We start from the raw sequence: 20216 nt of genomic DNA on the forward strand, positions 1-20216 counted from the left end.
GTGGTTGCAGCGCGTCTCTTGAGTGCTTCTATTTTCTCAATGAAATAGGAAACAAAGTCATCAGCTGGGAGTGAGGATGAGGGGAGGAGTTGTTGAAAGTAAGAGGGAAGGTATAAAATAATTGGTTAGAGAAATGGGAGATTGAATGGATTAGAGAGCTGTGGTATGATTTTTGGGTGTTACCTTTGAGGTTAGTGAAACCAGCCAGCATGGTGTTATGTTTTCTCAGTCACGTTCAGCTGCACGAGTCCAGGCCTGAATAATGGGAGGCCAGGATTTAACCAGAGCTGGACTTTTGCCTGATGAGCGTGTTGACGAAAGAATCTAGGGTATGTTGCTCTACATGTTGCCAGTGGTGGGGCCAGGGTTGTGCGGTGGGGGAGGAGGGGAGGAATCTAAGGTATGAAGGTGTGTATAGAGAGTGATTATAATTATGGGCCATAGAATTTAAGCTGCGTAAAGAGGAAATGATGTAAGTGTGTTGAAGGAAAATGTAATGAGATTAATGGATTGTAGGTCTTGATTCCTGATAGAGCTGAGGAATTTTTGGTAATAATGAAACTGTATTACCATGGGAAATGAGTTTCTGAGATAAAGTAGAATAAAAGTTTTTTTTGGGGTGTGTGTGTGTGTGTGTGTGTGTGTGTGTGTGTGTGTTTTAAGAATAAAATATTTTTGTTGGAGAAGAGGTCAAGGAACAGACAGGCAGGGTATTGGAAGAGACATCTCCATACATATTGAAATTACCAAAAATTATGGGATTTTTGTTGGAGAAAGTGAGCTAAGAATAAAGGGGATTGGCCTGAAGGTCAGGAGATAACTGCAACAAGGTGGGTAGATAATGGGTAGAATTATCTGAGTTTTAAAACTGAGGAGTTTAGGGAGGAAGTGGGGAGAGAATGACAGGAGCAAGTGGATACCTATTCCACTTTGAGGTTCACTGGTAAAAGAAGTATGAGAGAGAACAGAACTATCACTTAAGAGAACTGCATTGTCGTCAAGACAGAGCCAAATACTCAGATAATAAGGTGAAGGGAACATTCAGAGGAGTTGAATACCTAGGGAATTTGCTAATGGCAGACTATGAGTTACAGAGAACACTGAAATTCAAGATAAGAATTTAGAAGTCATCAGTATAAAAATGGTATTTAAATCTGTGGAAGTTGGGCCGGGCGCAGTGGCTCACGGCTGTAATCTCAGTACTTTGGGAGGCCGAGGTGGGCTGATCACGAGGTCAGGAGATCGAGACCACGGTGAAACCCCGTCTCTACTAAAAATACAAAAAAATTAGCCGGGCGTGGTGGCGGGCGCCTGTAGTCCCAGCTGCTCGGGAGGCGGAGGCAGGAGAATAGCGTGAACCTGGGAGGCGGAGCTTGCAGTGTACCGAGATCGCGCTACTGCACTCCAGCCTGGGCACCAGAGCGAGACTCGTCTCCAAAAAATAAATAAATAAATAAATAAATCTGTGGAAGTTGATAAGATAATAGAGAAAAGAAGAGGGGTCCAAGATTCTCCCTTGAAGTTTCCCAGCATGCAGAGATTAGGTGGAGCAGTGTTTCAACTTTCTTTTCGTTATTGCCATTCTGAGGGGCCTTTATAGACACTTTTGTCCTAATGGCTCACTTCAGGACATTTTAATACTGTAGATATATAGTATGTGTTATTTTGTTTTGTTTTGTTTTTTGAGACGGAGTCTTGCTCTGTTGCCCAGGCTGGAGTGCAGTGGCGCGATCTCAGCTCACTGCAAGCTCCACCTTCGGGTTCACGCCGTTCTCCTGCCTCAGCCTCCTGAGTAGCTGGGACTACAGGCGCCTGCCACCACGCCCAGCTAATTTTTTGTATTTTTAGTAGAGACAGGGTTTCACCGTGTTAGCCAGGATGGTCTCGATCTCCTGACCTCGTGATCCACCCGTCTCGGCCTCCCAAAGTGCCGGGATTACAGGCGTGAGCCACTGCGCCCAGCCTATCGTATGTGTTTTTTTGTACTGTGGCCCTTTGAAGGCTATAAACCATTATAGTGTCTAAGTTTTTTTTTTCTTTTTTTTGGCCACCCTCCCTCCTGCACCAAGAACCAGTTTTTGCCCCTTTTAAGTGCAACATTACCTCTGCTAAAATGCATGAAGTAGAGGACAGAGAAATAGTGAAGAAGTAGCTGGTAAGATAGGAGAAAGGCCAGTACAGAGTGGTAGAATGAAGTCAAGAGAGGGTGAAGATTGTTAGAAGAAAGGAGAAAGGGTATTGAATACTGGAGAATACTCTCTTTATGACTTGGCAGTGTGGTTATTGTGACCTTCATCAAACCGTGTCACTGCAGTGATGAGATGGAAATGGAGTGGTGAGTTGAAGAGTATCTGGGAGGCAAGGAAATGGAGCCTCAAGGGCAGAAAACTTTTGAGAAGTTTGGGTACAAATGGGTATGGGAAGTGGGTAAGGAGTAGGAAAAGGCTTAATGGAGAACATGTGACTTGTATCCGGCTTTGAAGCATAGTTAGAATCTATGCTGTTGTAAAGAATAGGAAAGGTTGTTTGAGGGTTAGTTGGAAACTATCTTAAGCTCAAGCTAGAGGTGGAAATATGTAAGGCATATTGAAGGAACAGTGTATGTGTCTAATTTGACTATAGTTGGTAAATCTGCATGTTGTATAGTTAGAGAAATAGAGATTGGATTAAGTAGATTGTGGCAAGACAGTCTTGTGAGCCAGGCAGGAAGTTTGAATTTACTGTAATAGGATGCTTAATCTATTTTAGTTTCCTAAATGGGATAATAACAAGTTAAATGTAGTTTCATTTTGTTTTGTTTTTTGAAACTGGGTCTCTCTCTGTTGCCCAAGCTGGAGTGCAGTGGCACGATCTTGCTCACTGCAACCTCTGCCTCCCAGGTTCAAGCAATTCTCTTGCCTCAGCCTCCTGAGTAGCTGGGATTATAGGCACCGCCACCATGCCCAGCTAATTTTTGTATTTTTCGTAGAGATGGGGTTTCCCCATGTTGGCCGGGCTGGTCTTGAATTCCTGACCTCAAGTGATCCACCTGCCTTGGCCTCCGGAAGTGCTGGGATTATAGGCATTAGCCACTGCACCTGGCCATTTATATATAACTATATATAATTTAAGTAATGAGTTACATGTATTTCTGACCCTGTTTCCTATCCAGCTCTTCCATATCCATCCACTCTCCACCCTACTTTCCTTGTTCTCAGATGGAATTGTGTAAGGCAGATTGAGTCAAATTGGACTCATTTACTATTCTTTCTTAGATCATTGCCATATATCACCTAAACCTGCACTGAAGAATATAGTAGCCACTAGGTACATGTGGTTATTGAGTCCTTGAAATGTGGCCAGTGTGAATTGAGATGTTCTGTAAATGTAAAATATACACTGGATTTCAAAGATTTGGTTAAAAAAGAATATCAGTAATTTAAAAATATTGATTGTTGAAATGTTCATGTACTAAGTTAAATAAAATATATTATTAAGATTAATTTTGCCAGGTGTGATGGCTCATGCCTTTTATCCCAGCACTTCGCGAGACTGAGGCAGGCAGATCACTTGAGCTCAGGAGTTCAAGACCAGGCTGGGCAACATGGCAAAACCCTATCTTTACAAAAAATTTAAAAAATTAGCCATGTGTGATGATGCTTACCAGTAGTCCCTGCTGCTCAGGAGGTTAAGGCAGCAGGATCACTTGAGCCTGGAAGTTCAAGGCTGCAGTGAGCCATGTTTGTGCCACTGTACTCCAGCCTGGGTGACAAAGTGAGACCCTATCTCAAACAAACAAACAAAAAAGATTAATTTTACCTGTTTATTTTGACCTTTATTAATGTGGCTGCTAGAAAATTTAAAATTACATTTGAGCTCAAATTCGTGGCTTGCATTATATTTCAACTGGACAGTGTTAAACTGTGCTGCCACTCCATAGCTCTTATCTTCATTCTGGCTCTACTTTCTGTGCTATAACAAGTTGATACCATTTACCTAACCTCTTCCCTGCTCGTTATCACTAGCACTCTACTTGACTTTGTCTGCATACCTTCTGAGACAAAATGAGCTCTTTTGCCATGAGTTCTGCAAATGAAGAGATACAGTTGTGGTGGCAGAGAACCGATGAGCAGAGCCATAAGTGCAGAAGTACTAATAGTACAAAGGATGAGATTGGTGCAAAAATAAAGCCATCACAAAATTGTAATGCCTCTGTTTTACAGAAGAGGAAACCAATGTTCAGAGGGGTTAATGTGCTGTCTCCATCTGGGCACCTTCTATGATTTAAAGTATGCTGAAAAGCTCATATGCTCAAAAATACATCCCTCTTACACCTCTACAATCCCAAAGTGTTTTTGATGTAATATTTGAAAGTTCCTCTACTTGTGTTTTTCTTTCTTTTCTTTTTTTCTTCCCGAGATGGAGTCTTGCTCTTTCGCCCAGGCTGGAGTATAATGGTGCGATCTTGGCTCATTGCAACCTCCGCTTCCAAAGCTCAAGCAATTCTCCTGCCTCAGCTACCCGAGCAGCTGGGATTACAGGCGCCCGCCACCATGCCCAGCTAATTTTTGTATTTTTTTTTTTTTTTAGTAGAGATGGGATTTGTCTATGTTGGCCAGGCTGATCTCGAACTCCTGACCTCGTGATCCACCCACCTTACACTCTCAAAGTGCTGGGACTACAGGCGTGAGCCACCACACCCAGACCTTTTCTTGCCTTTTTTAATGCAGTAAAAAAAAATTTTTTTTTTTTTTGAGACAGAGTTTCACTCTTGTCACCCAGCCTATAGTGCAATGGCACAATCTTGGCTCACTGCAACCTCTGCCTCCTGGGTTCAAGCGATTATCTCACCTCAGACTCCCAAGTAGCTGGGATTACAAGCGCCTGCCACCACACCCAGCTAATTTTTGTATTTTTAGTAGAGATGGGGTTTCATCATCTTGGCCAGGCTGGATTCAAACTCCTGACTTCAGGTGATCCGCCCGCCTTGGCCTCCCAAAGTGCTGGGATTACAGACGTCAGCCACCACGCCCAGCAATCCAGTAAATATTCACTGAGCATGTATTGTGAGCTAGTTATTTGGAGGTGTCAACATGTAGTTAGTGGGGCTGTGTAAGTATACTCTAACCACGAAAATGTCAGCATGGGATTTTTCTTGGAAAGAGTAATAAAAAGTTAACACATCTTGGTATGTTAAATTTATCTAACTCTTAGCTAGCAAAGCCCTGAGGAAGCAGAACATAGGACAGATAATTTTAATAAGGAAAAGGAAAAATTAGGAAATAGCTAGACCTGGTGTAGCTAAAGAGGTTTGGGAATCACTGGTGAGAGGACTTAGCTACTAGGGACATGTAAAAGTAATATTTTGATGGGAGGTGGGGGAGAAGTGAACAAGAATGATGTAGGCAAAGAAATTCTGAAGGCTCTGCCTCACCAAAAGTAAACTTTATTCAGGGCCAGTCGTGCCAGAACAAATGTTCAATTTTCTAAGCTATTTAGATGTTCTGTTGAGATTACTCCATTTCTCTGGAGAAAAAAGAGATGTTTTTGAGTTAAAAAGCAAACACGGCTGGGCGCGGTGGCTCACGCCTGTAATCCCAGCACTTTGGGAGGCCGAGGCAGGCGGATCACGAGGTCGGGAGATCGAGACCATCCTGGCTAACACAGTGAAACCCTGTCTTTACTAAAAATACAAAAAATTAGCCAGGCGTGGTGGCGGGTGCCTGTAGTCCCAGCTACTTGGGAGGCTGAGGCTGAGGCTGAGGCAGGAGAATGGCATGAACCCGGGAGGCGGAGCTTGCAGTGAGCCGAGATGGCACCACTGCACTCCAGCCTGGGCGACAGAGCGAGACTCCATCTCAAAAAAAAAAAAAAAAGCAAACACTAGTAGAGGGATTGTAAGAGAAACCACTAATTGCTTTCCTAATACCTAGCTGAAGTACCCCAAGGAAATGGGAATTTTGATTGGCAAAGGTTAGAGGAGAAGAAGTGAATTTCAATCTGGAAATTTCTGTCACTAGAATATGAGAGCAGAGCCAGACATGGACATGGCTTTTTGAAGGGCTTTGGCATAGAGAAAGAAACACGATACCTAGGAAGTGTTAGGAAGTGTAATAAAGTAAGGTGTGGAAGAGATGTAGGGAGAAGGCAGGAAATGGGCAGGAATATGAAACTCAACATAAACTGGAATGTATATTGTGACTTCAGCCATCTAAAATTGTTAGTATGATGATGAGACTGGCGGGGGCGCATAGTTAAGAAAAATAATAGAGATGGTGGCATTGTCTTACTTTTAAAAAATTATTTTATCTTTTGAATATAAATACGCTATAAAGCGAGGTCAATGTTGAAGCATTTTAATTTCGCCCAGAGTTGCCTGTATTTCCTTTTTTCCAAATGTTCACCTGGTATAAGCTAACTTATGCCAAGCCCTCTCTTCCATTTTTTTGGCCTAAAGTAGCTATCAAATTTTGGTTTCTTGTTTTCTGTTTATTTAGAATATCCCATTAGTAGCAAGGTTTTCTTAATTCTTTCCTTGAAATTTTTTCTCTTTCTGTATGCTCATATTTCACAACCTGATTTACCTGCAAACTGTATCATTCTTTGTCCCTAAATTAGCCTACATATCAGTGTACTTTTCCTAAAGCATCAATTTCATTCTTCACTCCTCTACTTAAAAGTATAAAGATCCCTGTGATCTTTTATAGTCAGCCAAACTTATCAGCATATTATTTAGGATTTTCTAAAATCTGTTCAAGTTTACTCATTCAACCATGTTTGCCACTACTTTACAATATAAATCTTTTGTATTAACTCTTTGTATAAGCTGTTCGTGTGACATGATCTTTCTTATATGTGCTTTCTCCATTCATTCTTCCCCTCAAAAGATGCTTTTTCTCCCATTGCCATTCCAAGTTTTGCTCATTTTTCTGCATCCAGTTTAGCTTTTTTTTTTTTTTGAAACGATTAGCCAGGTGTGGTGGTGCGTGTCTTTAGTCCCAGCTACTCAGGAAGCTGAGGTGGGAGGATCACCTGAGTCTAGGGAGGTTGAGGTTGCAGCAAGTCGTGATCACGCCACTGCACTCCAGCCTGGGCAACAGAGTAAGACTCTGTCTCAAAAAAAAAAAAAAAAAAAGTCTTCTAAAATGTGCCATCTCAGTTACATCACTAAGTCTAGCTCTCACAAAAAATCAGTTAACTAGTTGTCTGGAAGGGTAGAGACAGATTAACCAGTTGACAAGATTTTTTAAAAATAAAATTTGTTTTTGTTTTTGAGACAGAGTCTCGCTGCATCACCCAGGCTGGAGTACAGTGGCGTGATCTTGGCTCACTGCAACCTCCACCTCCTGGGTTGAAGCAATTCTCCTGCCTCAGCCTCCTGAGTAGTTGGGACTACAGGTGCATGCCACTACGCCTGGCTAATTTTTGTATTTTTACTAGAAACAGGATTTCACCATGTTGGCCAGGCTGGTCTTAAACTCCTAACCTCAGGTGATCCACCCTCCTCGGCCTCCCAATGTGCTGGGATTATAGGCATGAGCCATCATGCCCAGCCCAGTTTAGCTTTTACAGTTCAATAAGAAAAGATAGGCCAGGAACGGTGGCTCATGCCTGTGATCCCAACACTTTGGGAGGCTGCAACATGGCAAGACCCCATCTCTTAAAAAAAAAAAAAAAAAAAAAAAAAAAAAGATGATAATTATATAGGTAGAAAATTCAAAGAAAAAAGTATGTACATACAGTTAATACATAATTTGAAAGATAATACGTAGATTTAAAAGTATTAAAATTGTGATCCATATTTTTAAAAGGTACTACATATATTTAAAAGTTGCCACATATACCAAAAGGTTATACATATATTTAAAAGGTGATACCAAATAAAAACTCGTATATAAAAATACCATCTTTTTAAATGAAAAGAAAAGAAATTTTTTTTGAGGCAGAGTCTCACTTTGTTGCCCAGGCTGGAGTGCAGTGGCGCGATCTCGGCTCACTGCAGCCTCCACCTCCCAGGTTCAAGCGATTCTTCTGCCTCAGCCTCCCAAGTAGCTGGGATTACAGGCACCCGCCACCATGCCCGGCTAATTTTTGTATTTTTAGTAGAGTTGGCCAGGCTGAACTCCTGACCTCAGATGATCCACCCACCTCAGCCTCCCAAAGTGCTGGGATCACAGGCGTGAGCCACCAAACCCAGCCAGATGCCAAACTTCTTTTTTTTACTTCTCAGTGTTGCAGACATTTAGAAGACTGATAATACCCATTGTTGGTGAGGTAATCAGAAATAGTTATATTGTTGACAGCAGTGAAATTTGTTATAACCTTTGGGACCTTTATACATAATAACATGGAATGATGCTGAAATATAAAATGGAAGTAAAAAGTTCAAAGCACTATAGTATATACATTGAAAAAATATTTGACGTGATAGGAAAAGTTAACATTGATTTTCTCTGGGTAGGATTGGGGAGTCAATTTTATATGTCAACTATAGCTACAGTGTTTTAACATTTATAATTAAGATCTATTACTTTTGTAATCAGAAAAACAAGTTTTTAAAAGGCAATTTTACAATTCTTTTTTTTTTTTTACAGGAGATTACATGCTTGATGCAAAGCCAAAAGAAATTTCAGAAATTCAACGTTTAAATTATGAACAGGTAATAAACAGTTTTTGTTAAAGTATATAATTTTAAAGTTTAAATATATACATTGGTTTCTATTAGTAGCTGGCAGCATTTTTCTATAAAGGATTAGATAGTAAACACTTTAGACTTTGCAAGCCACATGTGGTCAGTCTCTATTACATATTCTTTGTTTTCTTTTTTTATGCCTCTTTAAAAATATGAAATCCATTTTTAGCTCACAGCCAGATTTTTCCTTTTTTTCTCATTTTTTTCTCAGTATTTTTCCTTTTTTTTCTCATTCCATGAGAGATCAAACCTAGTGTTTTTCTTGAAAAATTGACTTCCAGGTCAATTTGTCATTGATGTATCTGTCCTCATTTTATTTATATTTTACAATTAAGTTATGTTCAGGAGAAAGTTGAACAAATGATGTATATGGTATGTCATTAGGACAAGTTTTGCTATTTGATAGTTTCAGTATCCACATTTCTTGGCATGTTCTTTAGAGATCCTGTTCTGCAATGTAGGAGGTATCACTAGGCTTAAAATTATTGGTGCTGGAAAAAAGCAAGCGGAGCTTCATTTTCTTCAGTATTCTTCCTTTACTTGGTAATAGAAGGCAAGAAGGAATTGGCTTCTTAGAGTGGAAGGAAGTATTAGCCAGGGAAGAAAGAGACATCGTTGGAACCTTCATATTTACTTTCAAAGCAACCTTTTTTAACATACTTTCACCAGTATCAAATTTGCAAAAAGAAAGCATAACTCATTTGTCTTGCAAAATTTCTTGAATTTAATGTTCAGATAATCTAGTCTTAATAAAATTTGAAAAATCAACAAGTTGGCTGGGCGTGGTGGCTCAAGCCTGTAATCCCAGCACTTTGGGAGGCCGAGGTGGGCAGATCACGAAGTCAGGAGATGGAGACCATCCTTGTCAACATGGTGAAACCCCATTTCTACTAAAAATACAAAAAAAATTAGCTGGGCATGGTGATGCGCGCCTGTAGTCCCAGCTAGTCGTGAGGCTGAGGCAGGAGAATCACTTGATCCCAGGAGGCGGAAGTTGCAGTGAGCTGGAATCGCGCCACTATGATCCAGGCTGGTGACAGAGCAAGACTCTGTCTCATAAAAAAAAAAAAAAAGAAGAAGAATCAACAACTTACATTGCATTATATCATAAGATAGGAAATCTAGGCCAGATGCGGTGACTCCTGCCTATAATCCCAGCACTTTGGGAGGCCAAGGTGGATGGGTCACTTGAGGCCAGGAGTTCGAGACCAGCTGTTCAACATGGAAAAACCCCACCTCTACTAAAAATACAAAAATTGGCCGAGTGTAATAGCATGTACCTGTAGTCCCAGCTATTCAGGAGGTTGAGGCATGAGAATTGCTTGAACCAGGGAGGCGGAGGTTGCAGTGAGCCGAGATTGCGTCACTACACTCCGTCCTGGGCAGCAGAGGGAGACTCTGCCTCAAAAAATAAGAGGCCGGGCGTGGTGGCTCACGCCTGTAATTCCAGCACTTTGGTAGGCCAAGGCAGGCGGATCACGAGGTCAGGAGATTGAGACCATCCTGGCTAACATGGTGAAACCCCAGCTCTACTGAAAAAAAAAAAAAAAAAAAAAAAATACAAAAAATTAGCCAGGCGTGGTGGCAGGCGCCTGTAAGTCCTAGCTACTCTGGAGGCTGAGGCAGGAGAATGGCGTGAACCTGGGAGGCAGAGCTTGGAGTGAGCCGAGATCGCGCCACTGCACTCCAGCCGGGGCGACAAAAAAAAAAGGAGGAGGAGGAGAAGGAAAAGAAAGGAAATCTGTAGCTAAAGCCAGATTTGTATTCTAAGTGATTTAAATTTTATCAGGGGAATTTGTATCTTAAAACAGTGATATTTAAACATTTTTAGCAATAGAAACCTCTTTTCAAATGAAATCTCATCCCAGCTTCCAATATATAAAACCAGTACATGATAAGTATAAAGTGATAAAGTTTAATTTATATCATGTATTTATGAAATTTATATCATTTCTTACTGAAATCATGAAGCTATTTTTATTAAAAACTTAAAATTAGGGACTGCGGATGATAGCTGCAGTCTGATGTCAACCTCCAAATTCATTTTACTTTCGTTGCCTAATCCTGAGAAAATCTTGATTGAAATGAGAAAATCTTAATTTTCGTGTTTGCAAGCACCAGGCGTGGTGGCTCATGCCTGTAATCCCAGCACTTTGGGAGGCCAAAGCAGGCGGATTGCTTGAGCCCAGTAGTGAGACCAGCCTGGGCAACATGGCAAAACCCTGTCTCTACAAAAAATACAAAACGTTTGCCAGGCATGGTGGCACACGCCTATAGTCCCAGCTACTTGGGAGGCTGAGGTCAGAGGATCGCTTGAGCCCAGGAGGCAGAGGTTGCTGTGAGCCAAATCACACCACTGCATTCCAGCCTGGACAACAGAGTGAGACCCTGTTACAAAAAAAAAAAAGAAAAGAAAAGAAAAGAAAACTGTTTGCAGCCAGTTACAGTGGTTCACAGCTGTAATTCCAGGTACTCAGGAGACTGAGGCAGGAGGATTACTTGAGCCTAGGAGTTCAAGACCAATCCGGGTGTGATATAGTAAGACTCCATCTCAAAAAATTAGGAAAGAAAGAAAAATAAAAATGCTTGCAAATGTTATCAGCATTTGGTTTAAGTCCATCTTGCATTGGAATACACTCCCATTACACTGATCAGGATTCTTGAAGGGAATTTGGAATATTGGCTCAAAGTTGAAACAAAGGATATCTAACAACTGCTTGCATTTCTCATAAACATATCAGGCAAAAAGTACCCTGCTTTTAAAATAAACAATGAAACTATAAGGTGTTATTATTACATTACTGTTTTGAAAATAGTGTATGTCAAGCTTATATGGCTGGGCTGAGTCTAAGCTAATGTGTAATGTTCCACAAGTGTGATGTAATAGTGTTCTTTTTTGTGTAATTTTACGTGAACAGATGTCTTCAAACCTAATTTTAGAAAGACCAACACAGAGCTGCAATATTCCCATTTAAAACTCTTTACCAGAAGTTGTAATGTAAGCAAAGAGCCTATTTTTTCCAGTTTTGTCTAATAGTGTACTGACAGCACAAGAAAACATGATGTGTGTATTCATAACAAATTTTTAATGAGTGCAAATATATTCTTAAAATATATTTTGTATTTAAATTTAAAATATTTGACCATGTTAAAAGTTCATTTGAAAAGAGTTCTAAGAAACAGTTTAACCATTGCCTTAAAGGATCCACTAGTACTCCCTTCTTGTGAGGTAAGCAACCATAGCTCACATTTATATTTTGTAATATTAAGTATAATTTGGAATTAGGAACAAAGTGGCAAAATACTTACCCAAGAGTTTAAAACCCTTTTAAAATAAGTTTGTTTGGTTTATCAGTTGTTGTTTTTTATTAAGACAGAGTCTCGGCTGGGCACAGTGGCACATGCCTGTAATCCCAGCACTTTGGGAGGCTGAGGCGGGGGGATCACAAGGTCTGGAGATCGAGACCATGCTGGCTAACACAGTGAAACCCCATCTCTACTAAAAATACAAAAAATTAGCTGGGCGTGGTGGCACGTACTGTGGTCCCAGCTACTCGAGAGGCTGAGGCAGATGGAACCCTTGAACCCAGGAGGTGGAGGTTGCAGTGAGCCGAGATCACGCCACTGCACTCCAGCCCGGGCGACAGAGCGAGACTCCGTCTCAAAAAAACAACAAAAGAAAAGACAAAGTCTCCCTCTGTTGTACAGGCTGGAGTGTAGTGGCATGATCTCAGCTCAGTACAACTTCCGCCTTTCAGGTTCAAGAGATTCTCATGCCTCAGCCTCCCAATTAGCTGGGATTACAGGCATGTGCCACCACTCCTGGCTAATTTTTTTATTTTTAGTAGAGATGGCATTTCACCATGTTGGCCATGCTGGTCTCGAACTCCTGGCCTCAAGTGATCCACCTGTCTGGCATTACAGGCGTGAGTCAACGTGCCAACTTTTTTTTTTTTTTTTTTTTTGAGACAGGGTCTCACTCTGTCACTTTGTCTGGTTTGCCGTGGTGCTATCGTGGCTCACTGCAGCCTCAAACTCCTGGGCTCAAGTGATCTGCTCACTTCAGCCTCCCAAAGTGCTGGGATTACAGTCATGAGCCACTGTTAACTGGCCTCTTTTAACCGTTTTATTAATCTTTATGAAGATATCAAATGGTGTTAACTTAGTTGTTTTAATATTAAATAATGGGGAATAATTGTAGCAAATATATGAAGGTATAAGCATGAGCCCAGAGCCATTAGAAATCATATTGCCCCTAAAGGAAGTTGGGTGGTTGACAAACAAGAATTTACAAAAATAGAGGAAAATCTGGTGGTTGTAAAACTATAATTCTTAGATTGCTCACTGTTGTTACTATTTTTTCAGATTCATCATTGCTGTAGATTTAAGAAAAGTTCTAAAACACTTAAGGGAAAAAATGTAAGCTGGTTGTTTTTAAGCGTTTAATTTTTGGGAAGGTTGAGAAAATATGTTGTTTGGGGGGAACAGTAGAAGAGATGAAACTGACAAAGGTCAAAGACTGCAGTATAACAATGTTATCCTATTATAAATGCATCATTCATTAATTTAAAACATTTGAATGATTTCTGTTTACAGTCTGTACAGTCTGTTAGAATGGAATTTTATGAATTATTTCATAAAACAGAACTTCATTTTTGTAACCTAAATTTGTCTTTTTCAAATTTCAAAGAGAATCCGTAGTTTTAATGTAAGATTTCCTTCATTTTCACCCTTTTTATTATCAAACCCCTCTACAAACTATAGTCTACTGTTCTTATTTTGTGTCTTTAGTATCTTGTACAGTGTCTGATTAGCAGTAGGGATTCAGTAAAAGTGTGTTAAATTTTATGTATTGGTTTTTCTTTATTCTTTCAAATGTATTCTCTATACATATGTCCATACTTAATGTGTTAACGTGCTTAGAAAAGCATTTTAAAATAGTCTTTTTTTTTTTTTTTTTTTTGAGACCGAGTCTTGCTCTGTCGCCCAGGCTGGAGTGCAGTGGCGCGATCTCCACTCACTGCAAGCTCCGCCTCCCGGGTTTACGCCATTCTGCTGCCTCAGCCTCCCGAGTAGCTGAGAGAGACTACAGGCGCCCGCCATCATGCCTGGCTAAAAGTTTTTTGTATTTTTTAGTAGAGACGGGGTTTCACCGTGTTAGCCAGGATGGTCTCGATCTCCTGACCTTGTGATCCGCCCGCCTCGGCCTCCCAAAGTGCTGGGATTACAGGCGTGAGCCATTGCGCCCGGCCTAAAATAGTCTTTATTCCAGATGTATATGACTACATTTATTGAGAAAACTGATGTGGACAAAATGACTCCTTAATCTGACAAACAAGTCTTTGTGATCCAGCCTCTGCCTGTCTCTTAGACTTTATCTCCTACAACTTTTCACTTTTATTTTGTCCCAGCCGCACTGGGCCCCATGCTATTCCATGGACACAGTAATAAACTCGTTTTTGCACTGGCATCTACTTTGGAATGCTCTTTGCCCAGAGCTTCCTAACATTTAGTGCTCCCTGTAGTCTCTATTCTAGTGTCATTTTCAAGGAGGCCTGTCTCCCTCACCTCCCTCTCCTTCTTTCCTCTCCCATTTACACTCCCCACTCCCCTCCCTCCCTCTCTCCCTCACTCCCTTCCTTCCATCCTTCCTTCCTTTTCAGTGCATTCACTGCAAAATTAAGTATGGAAAGTCCTGAGGCTTTCTATATACCTCCTGTTCCTCCTAACCCCATACACACAGCTTCCCCCACTGTCAACATCCCGCATCAGAGTGGTTCATTTATTATTGATAAACTGGCAATGCCACATCATTATCACCCAGAGTCTATAATTTACTCTTTCTTGGTTCTGTATATTCTGTGGATTTTGAAAAATGTATAATGTCACGTATCTACCATTACAGTATCATACAGAATAGTTTCACTGTCCTAAAAGTTCTCTGTACTCTGCCTGTTCATTCCTCCCTTCCCTTAATCCTTGGCAACCACTGATCTTTTTTACTGTCTCTGTAGTCTTGCCCTTTCCAGAATGTCATTTGGAATTATACAGTATGTAGCCTTTTCATATTAGCTTGTTTTCTTTACTACTACGCATTTAAGTTTCCTCTGTGTCTTTTCATGGCTTGATAGCTCATCTCTATTTTTTTTAATTGTGTTAAAAACCACATATTATAAAATATATGGTTTTTTTGTTTTTGTTTTTGTTTTTTTGAGACAGAGTCTCGCCCTGTCGCCCAGGCTGGAGTGCAGTGGCACAATCTTGGCTCACTGCAAGCTCTGCCTGCTGGGTTCATGCCATTCTCCTGCCTCAGCCTCCCGAGTAGCTGGGACTACAGGTGCCCACCACCATGCCCGACTAATTTTTTGTATTTTTAGTAGAGATGGGGTTTCACCCTGTTAGCCAAGATGGTCTTGATCTCCTGACCTCGTGATCCACCCGCCTCAGCCTCCCAAAGTGCTGGGATTACAGGTGGGAGCCACCGTGCCCAGCCACTTTTTCATCTTTAAAACTGAAACTTGCCAGGCATGGTGGCTTATGTCTGTAATCCCAATACGTTGAGAGGCTGAGGCGGAGAATCACTTGAGCTCAGAAATTCAGGACCAGCCTGGGTAACATAGTGAGACCCCGTCTCTACAAAATATCAAAAACATTAGCTGGGCATGTTAGCATATACCTGTAGCCCCAGCTACATGGGAGACTGAGATGGGAGGATCACTTGAGCCCAGGAGTTTGAGGCTGTGGTGAGCCATGATCATACCACTGCACTCTAGCCTGGGCAACAGAGTGAGACCCTATATTCATCAAACAACCCCCCTTTTCCACTTCCCCCAGTCCCCTGGAAACAACCATTCTGCTTTCTGTTTTTATGATTTTGATGACTCTAAATATCTCATATAAGTAGAATCATACAGTATTTTTACTTTTGTGACTGGCTTATTTCACTCAGCATGATGTCCTCAAGGTTCATCTGGTTGTAGCATCTGACAGGATTTCTTTCTTTTTTTTAAGGCTGAATAATATTCCATTGTATGTATATATCTCATTTTCTTTATTCATTTGTCAGTTGTAACTAAGAATAGATAAAGAATTATGAATAATGTTGCAATGAGCGTGGGTGTACAACTATCTCTTCAAGATCCTACTTTCAGTTATTTTAGATTCACCAGTAGGAGAGGCCTTCTTCCTCTTTGACTTGAAAAACATTTGACTTTGGACTTTGTGGTCTAAAATAGGTCCTTCATTTCTATTACTCTCTACAACTCCATCTTGTTCAGTTTTTCTTGCTAATACTTGACATTGTTTTATATATATACATGTTTATCTCTCCCAATAGAATGTTAGTTGCATAAGAGCATGGACTTTGTCTTGTTTTGTTTCGTTTTTTGAGACAGAGTCTCGCTCTGTTGACCAGGCTGGAATGCAGTGGCAGAATCTCAGCTCACTGCAACCTACACCTACTGGGTTCAAGTGATCCTCCCACCTCAGCCTCCCAAGTAGCTGGGACTACAGGCGCATGCCACCATGCCCAGCTAATTTTTGTATTTTCAGAGACAGGGTTTCACCATGTTGGCCAGGCTGGTCTCAAACTCCTGACCTCAAGTGATCCGCCCACCTCAGTGTCTGTTTTATTCATTGTTGTATCTTTCAAACTCCAACTAGCTTCTGACACATAGTAGATACTCAATAATAAAAATATGTTGAATTGAATTTATTGGATAAAATGGAAAATTAAAAGTAAATGTGCTTGTACTTGAATATCTTTTTTGTTCTCGTTTTGATGTTTCTGAATTAGAACTTTCCCCTTTTCTATTTTCAGAATATGAGTGATGCCATGGCAATTTTGCACAAACTACAGACAGGCCTGGATGTAAATGTAAGATTCACTGGTGTTCGAGTGTTTGAATATACACCAGAATGCATAGTATTTGATCTTCTTGATATTCCTTTGTACCATGGGTGGTTAGTAGACCCTCAGGTAAGTCGAAGAATTTAAATTATGTAAACACAAATACAGGAAAAATGTATTAATTTGGCAAATTAATCTCAATTTATATTTTTTGTTACTTACTTTTTTTGTACTTTTGCCTGGAATTAGCCAAACTATGAGGTTAAGAACAGAGTCCTCCAGACTACTAAGTCTGCCCAAGGCTTCTGACCCCAACTCTAAGGAGCTAGGGCCCAACTACAAGGTTAGAGGGAAGAGCTCATAGAAGACCACCCGTACTTCTCACACCAATCACAAGTTCAGAGGTTTCCCAAAACTACCCTCAGGTTCAGTAATTCACCAGAGTGACTAACAGGACTCCCTGAAACCTATTATACTCACCATTACAGTTCATTACAGGGCAAAGATACAGGTTAATATTAGCAAAGGAAAGAGACACATACGGCAGAATCTAGGAGGGTTCCAACTGTGAAGCTTCCCCTGGATCCTCAGGACATCATACCCTCCTGGAACTGATGTATGAAAATATGCATGGAGTGCTGCCAATCCTGGAAGTTCACCCCACCTTCAGTGTTCAGATTTTTTATTGAGATTTCATTATGTAGGTAGGATTTAATTTATTGCCCATGTAATTGAACCCAGACTCCTACCCTTCCCTCCCTGGAAGCTGAGCTGACACCATGTGGTTCAAGGGATCCATCATTAGTATAAACTGCAGGTGTGGCCCAAGGGGCCCACAATAAATAACACAGTCACTCCTATTGGTACAGCAATGCCAAGATTTAGAAGTTATTTCATAGGAGCTGGGACAAAGGTCAAACCTCTCTTTGGGCAAGACCGTATTCTTTATTGCATAGCTTTGAAAAGAGATTTTGTATTACCCAAACATTTATTTTAAAAAGGCACCCCCATATATCCATCACTCTAACTGTACATTTCTAAATGTACATTGACCTTTGGTATATTAGTCTAGCAATCCAGATTTTGCCTCTTGTTAAGCGTATCAGGGTCCTGGCAGGAAGTAGACGACACACTGAAGGATAACTGTCAAAAGTTTAATGAAGAGACTATTTACAAAGGTGTGGGCAAAGTTAAGGGGAACAACAAGTAAGAGATGGTGTAGCATCTTAGACCTAGCAACAGCAGAAAATAATTGCCACTCCTAACTCTGAAGAGATAAGGAGAGGGAATACTTAGCAGAACACAGCAAGATTGATTAGTAAAGCACAGAGCTCCTGACGAGGAGATGTGACCTTCAGGAGAGGAATACTACCCCCAAGCTATGGCCCAGCAGGGAAAGAGCATAGGTAATACATTCTCTGACTCCCACTTTCTGATTTCCTCTAGTAGCTCCCTTTGGCCAAATTCAACTGATTATTAGAGAGTAGGAATTCCAGTTGCTGCAGTCCATAGAGGTTAGTCTCCCGAATAGAGAAGAAATGGAGAGTCAATTGGAAGGGTGAAAGGAAAAAATAATTCTACTGTAACATACTAAATTTTTAAATAGGTTAGAGTCTTCTCTTTTCCACTGATCTGTGTTATGTCTACTCCTATACTGTTTTAATATTATTTTCACTTACTTACATTTTTTAACATAAAGTAAGATTCAAATTTCAAAATAATATTAGTTAATTGTAAACTTTAAAAGAAAAAGACAAAGGAATCATACCAGCCAATGCCTTTCAAATTTATTTTGTTTTATGGTATGAGGTGAGAATTTACCTTTTTTATAAATTAAACTTTTTATTTTGAGGTAATTATAGATTCACATGCCAGTGTAAGAAATAATAAAGAACAGTCTGGGCGCAGTGGCTCACGCCTGTAATCCCAGTACTTTGGGAGGCCGAGGCGGGTGGATCATGAAGTCAGGAGTTCGAGATCAGTCTGGCCAAGATGGTGAAACCCTGTGTCTACTAAAAAATACAAAAATTAGTCGGGTGCAGTGGCAGGCGCCTGTAATCCTAGCTACTCAGGAGGCCAAGGCAGGAGAATCACTTAAACCCGGGAGGTGGAGTTTGCAGTGAGCCGAGATGGTGCCACTGCATTCTAGCCTGGCCAACAGAGCAACGGTCCGTCTCAAAAAAAAAAAAAAAGAAATAATAAAGAATGATCCCTCATACCTTTTACCCAGTTTTCCCCAATGGGAAAATTTAGTAATTTTGCAAAATTTAGTAAAATATCAAAACCAGGAAATTGACATTAGTAAAGTCGAGATACATGGCTGGACACAGTGGCTCATGCCTGTAATCCTAGAACTTTGGGAGGCCAAGGCAAGAGGACCACTTGGGCCCAGGAATTCAAGACTAGCCTGGGCAACATGGCAAAACCTTATTTCTACAAAAATAAAAAATTAGCTAGGCATGATGGAACATGCCTGTAGTCCCAGCTATTCAGGAAGCTGAGGTGGGAGGATCACTTGTGCCCAGGAGGTTGAAGCTGCAGTGAGCTGTGATCACACTACTGCGTTCCAGCCTGAGAGAAAGAGCGAGACCCTGTCTCAAAATAAATAGAGAAATAAGTAAATAAATAAAATCAAGATATGGCACATTTCTGTTAACACAAGAATCCCGCCTGATGCCCTTTTATATCCACACCCACTTCTCTCACACCCTTACCCTCTTCTTAACCCCTGACAACCACTAATCTTTCTCCATTTCTATAATTTTGTTATTTTGAGAATATTATATACAGTGTGTAATCTTTTTGGATTGCATTTCATACTCACCATAAGTCTCCAAAGCATCATCCAGATTGTTGCATCTATCAGTAGTTTGCTCCTGTTCATTACTGAGTAGTATTTTGTGGTGTGGACCTACCGCAGTTTTACTTGTTAAAGAGCATCTGGGTGTTTTCCCGCCGGGCACGGTGGCTCACGCCTGTAATCTCAGCACTTTGGAAGGCTGAGGCAGGTGAATCACTTGAGACCAGGAGTTCGAGACCAGCCTGGCCAACATGGCGAAACCCCATCTCTACTAAAAATACAAAAATCAGCTGGCTGTCATGGCATGTGCCTATAATCCCAGCTACTTGGGGAGGCTGAGGCAGGAGAATCACTTGAACCCAAGAGGTGGCGGCTGCAGTGAGCCAAGATCGTGCCACTTCTCTCCAGCCTGGGTGATGGAGCAAGACTCTATCTCAAACTGCTGTAAACATTTGTGTACAGGTACGTTTTTCATTTCTCTGGGTTAAATGCCCAGGAGTGCAGTTGGTGGGTTATATCATAGTTGCTTGTTGGTTTGTGTGTTTGTTTGTTTGTTTTTTAAGAGACAGGGTCTTGCTTTGTTGCCCAGGCTGGACTTGAATTCCTGGGCTCAAGTGATCCTCTTGCCGCAGCCTCCCAAGTAGCTGGGACTACAGGCATGCACCATTATGCCCCGTTAACTTGTGTATTTTTTTTTTTAAGAAAGCGACAAACTGTTTACTAGATTACCTGTAGAAAAGTTTACATTCCCACCAGTAACATATGAGTGATCCAGTTTCTCTGCATCTTCATCAGCACTTAATGTTGTCACTATTTTTTATTTTAGCCATTCTTAGGTAGCAATATTTCATTGTAGTTTTAACTTGCATTTCTTTTTTTTTTTTTTTTTTTAATTT

General features: G+C 40.8%; 1 protein-coding gene across 13 annotated transcripts in view; it reads left to right on the top strand.

Annotated features, from left to right (window-relative positions):
* The window catches only part of MINDY2 (MINDY lysine 48 deubiquitinase 2), a 90599-nt gene that overhangs the window by 22438 nt on the left and 47945 nt on the right, over nt 1–20216 (top strand). For 5 of the 13 annotated variants that reach the window (XM_011521687.3, XM_011521688.3, XM_017022332.3 and 2 more), the window contains exons 3-5: nt 8574–8638; nt 13037–13090; nt 16491–16649. In XM_011521687.3, the coding sequence (XP_011519989.1) occupies nt 8574–8638; nt 13037–13090; nt 16491–16649 (278 nt within the window). The remainder of the gene's footprint in view (nt 1–8573; nt 8639–13036; nt 13091–16490; nt 16650–20216) is intronic. The other 8 variants (NM_001040450.3, NM_001040453.3, XM_017022333.3 and 5 more) reach the window with 3 other exon arrangements.

Source organism: Homo sapiens, chromosome 15 (assembly GCF_000001405.40).
Source record: "Homo sapiens chromosome 15, GRCh38.p14 Primary Assembly".
Taxonomy (NCBI): domain Eukaryota; kingdom Metazoa; phylum Chordata; class Mammalia; order Primates; family Hominidae; genus Homo; species Homo sapiens.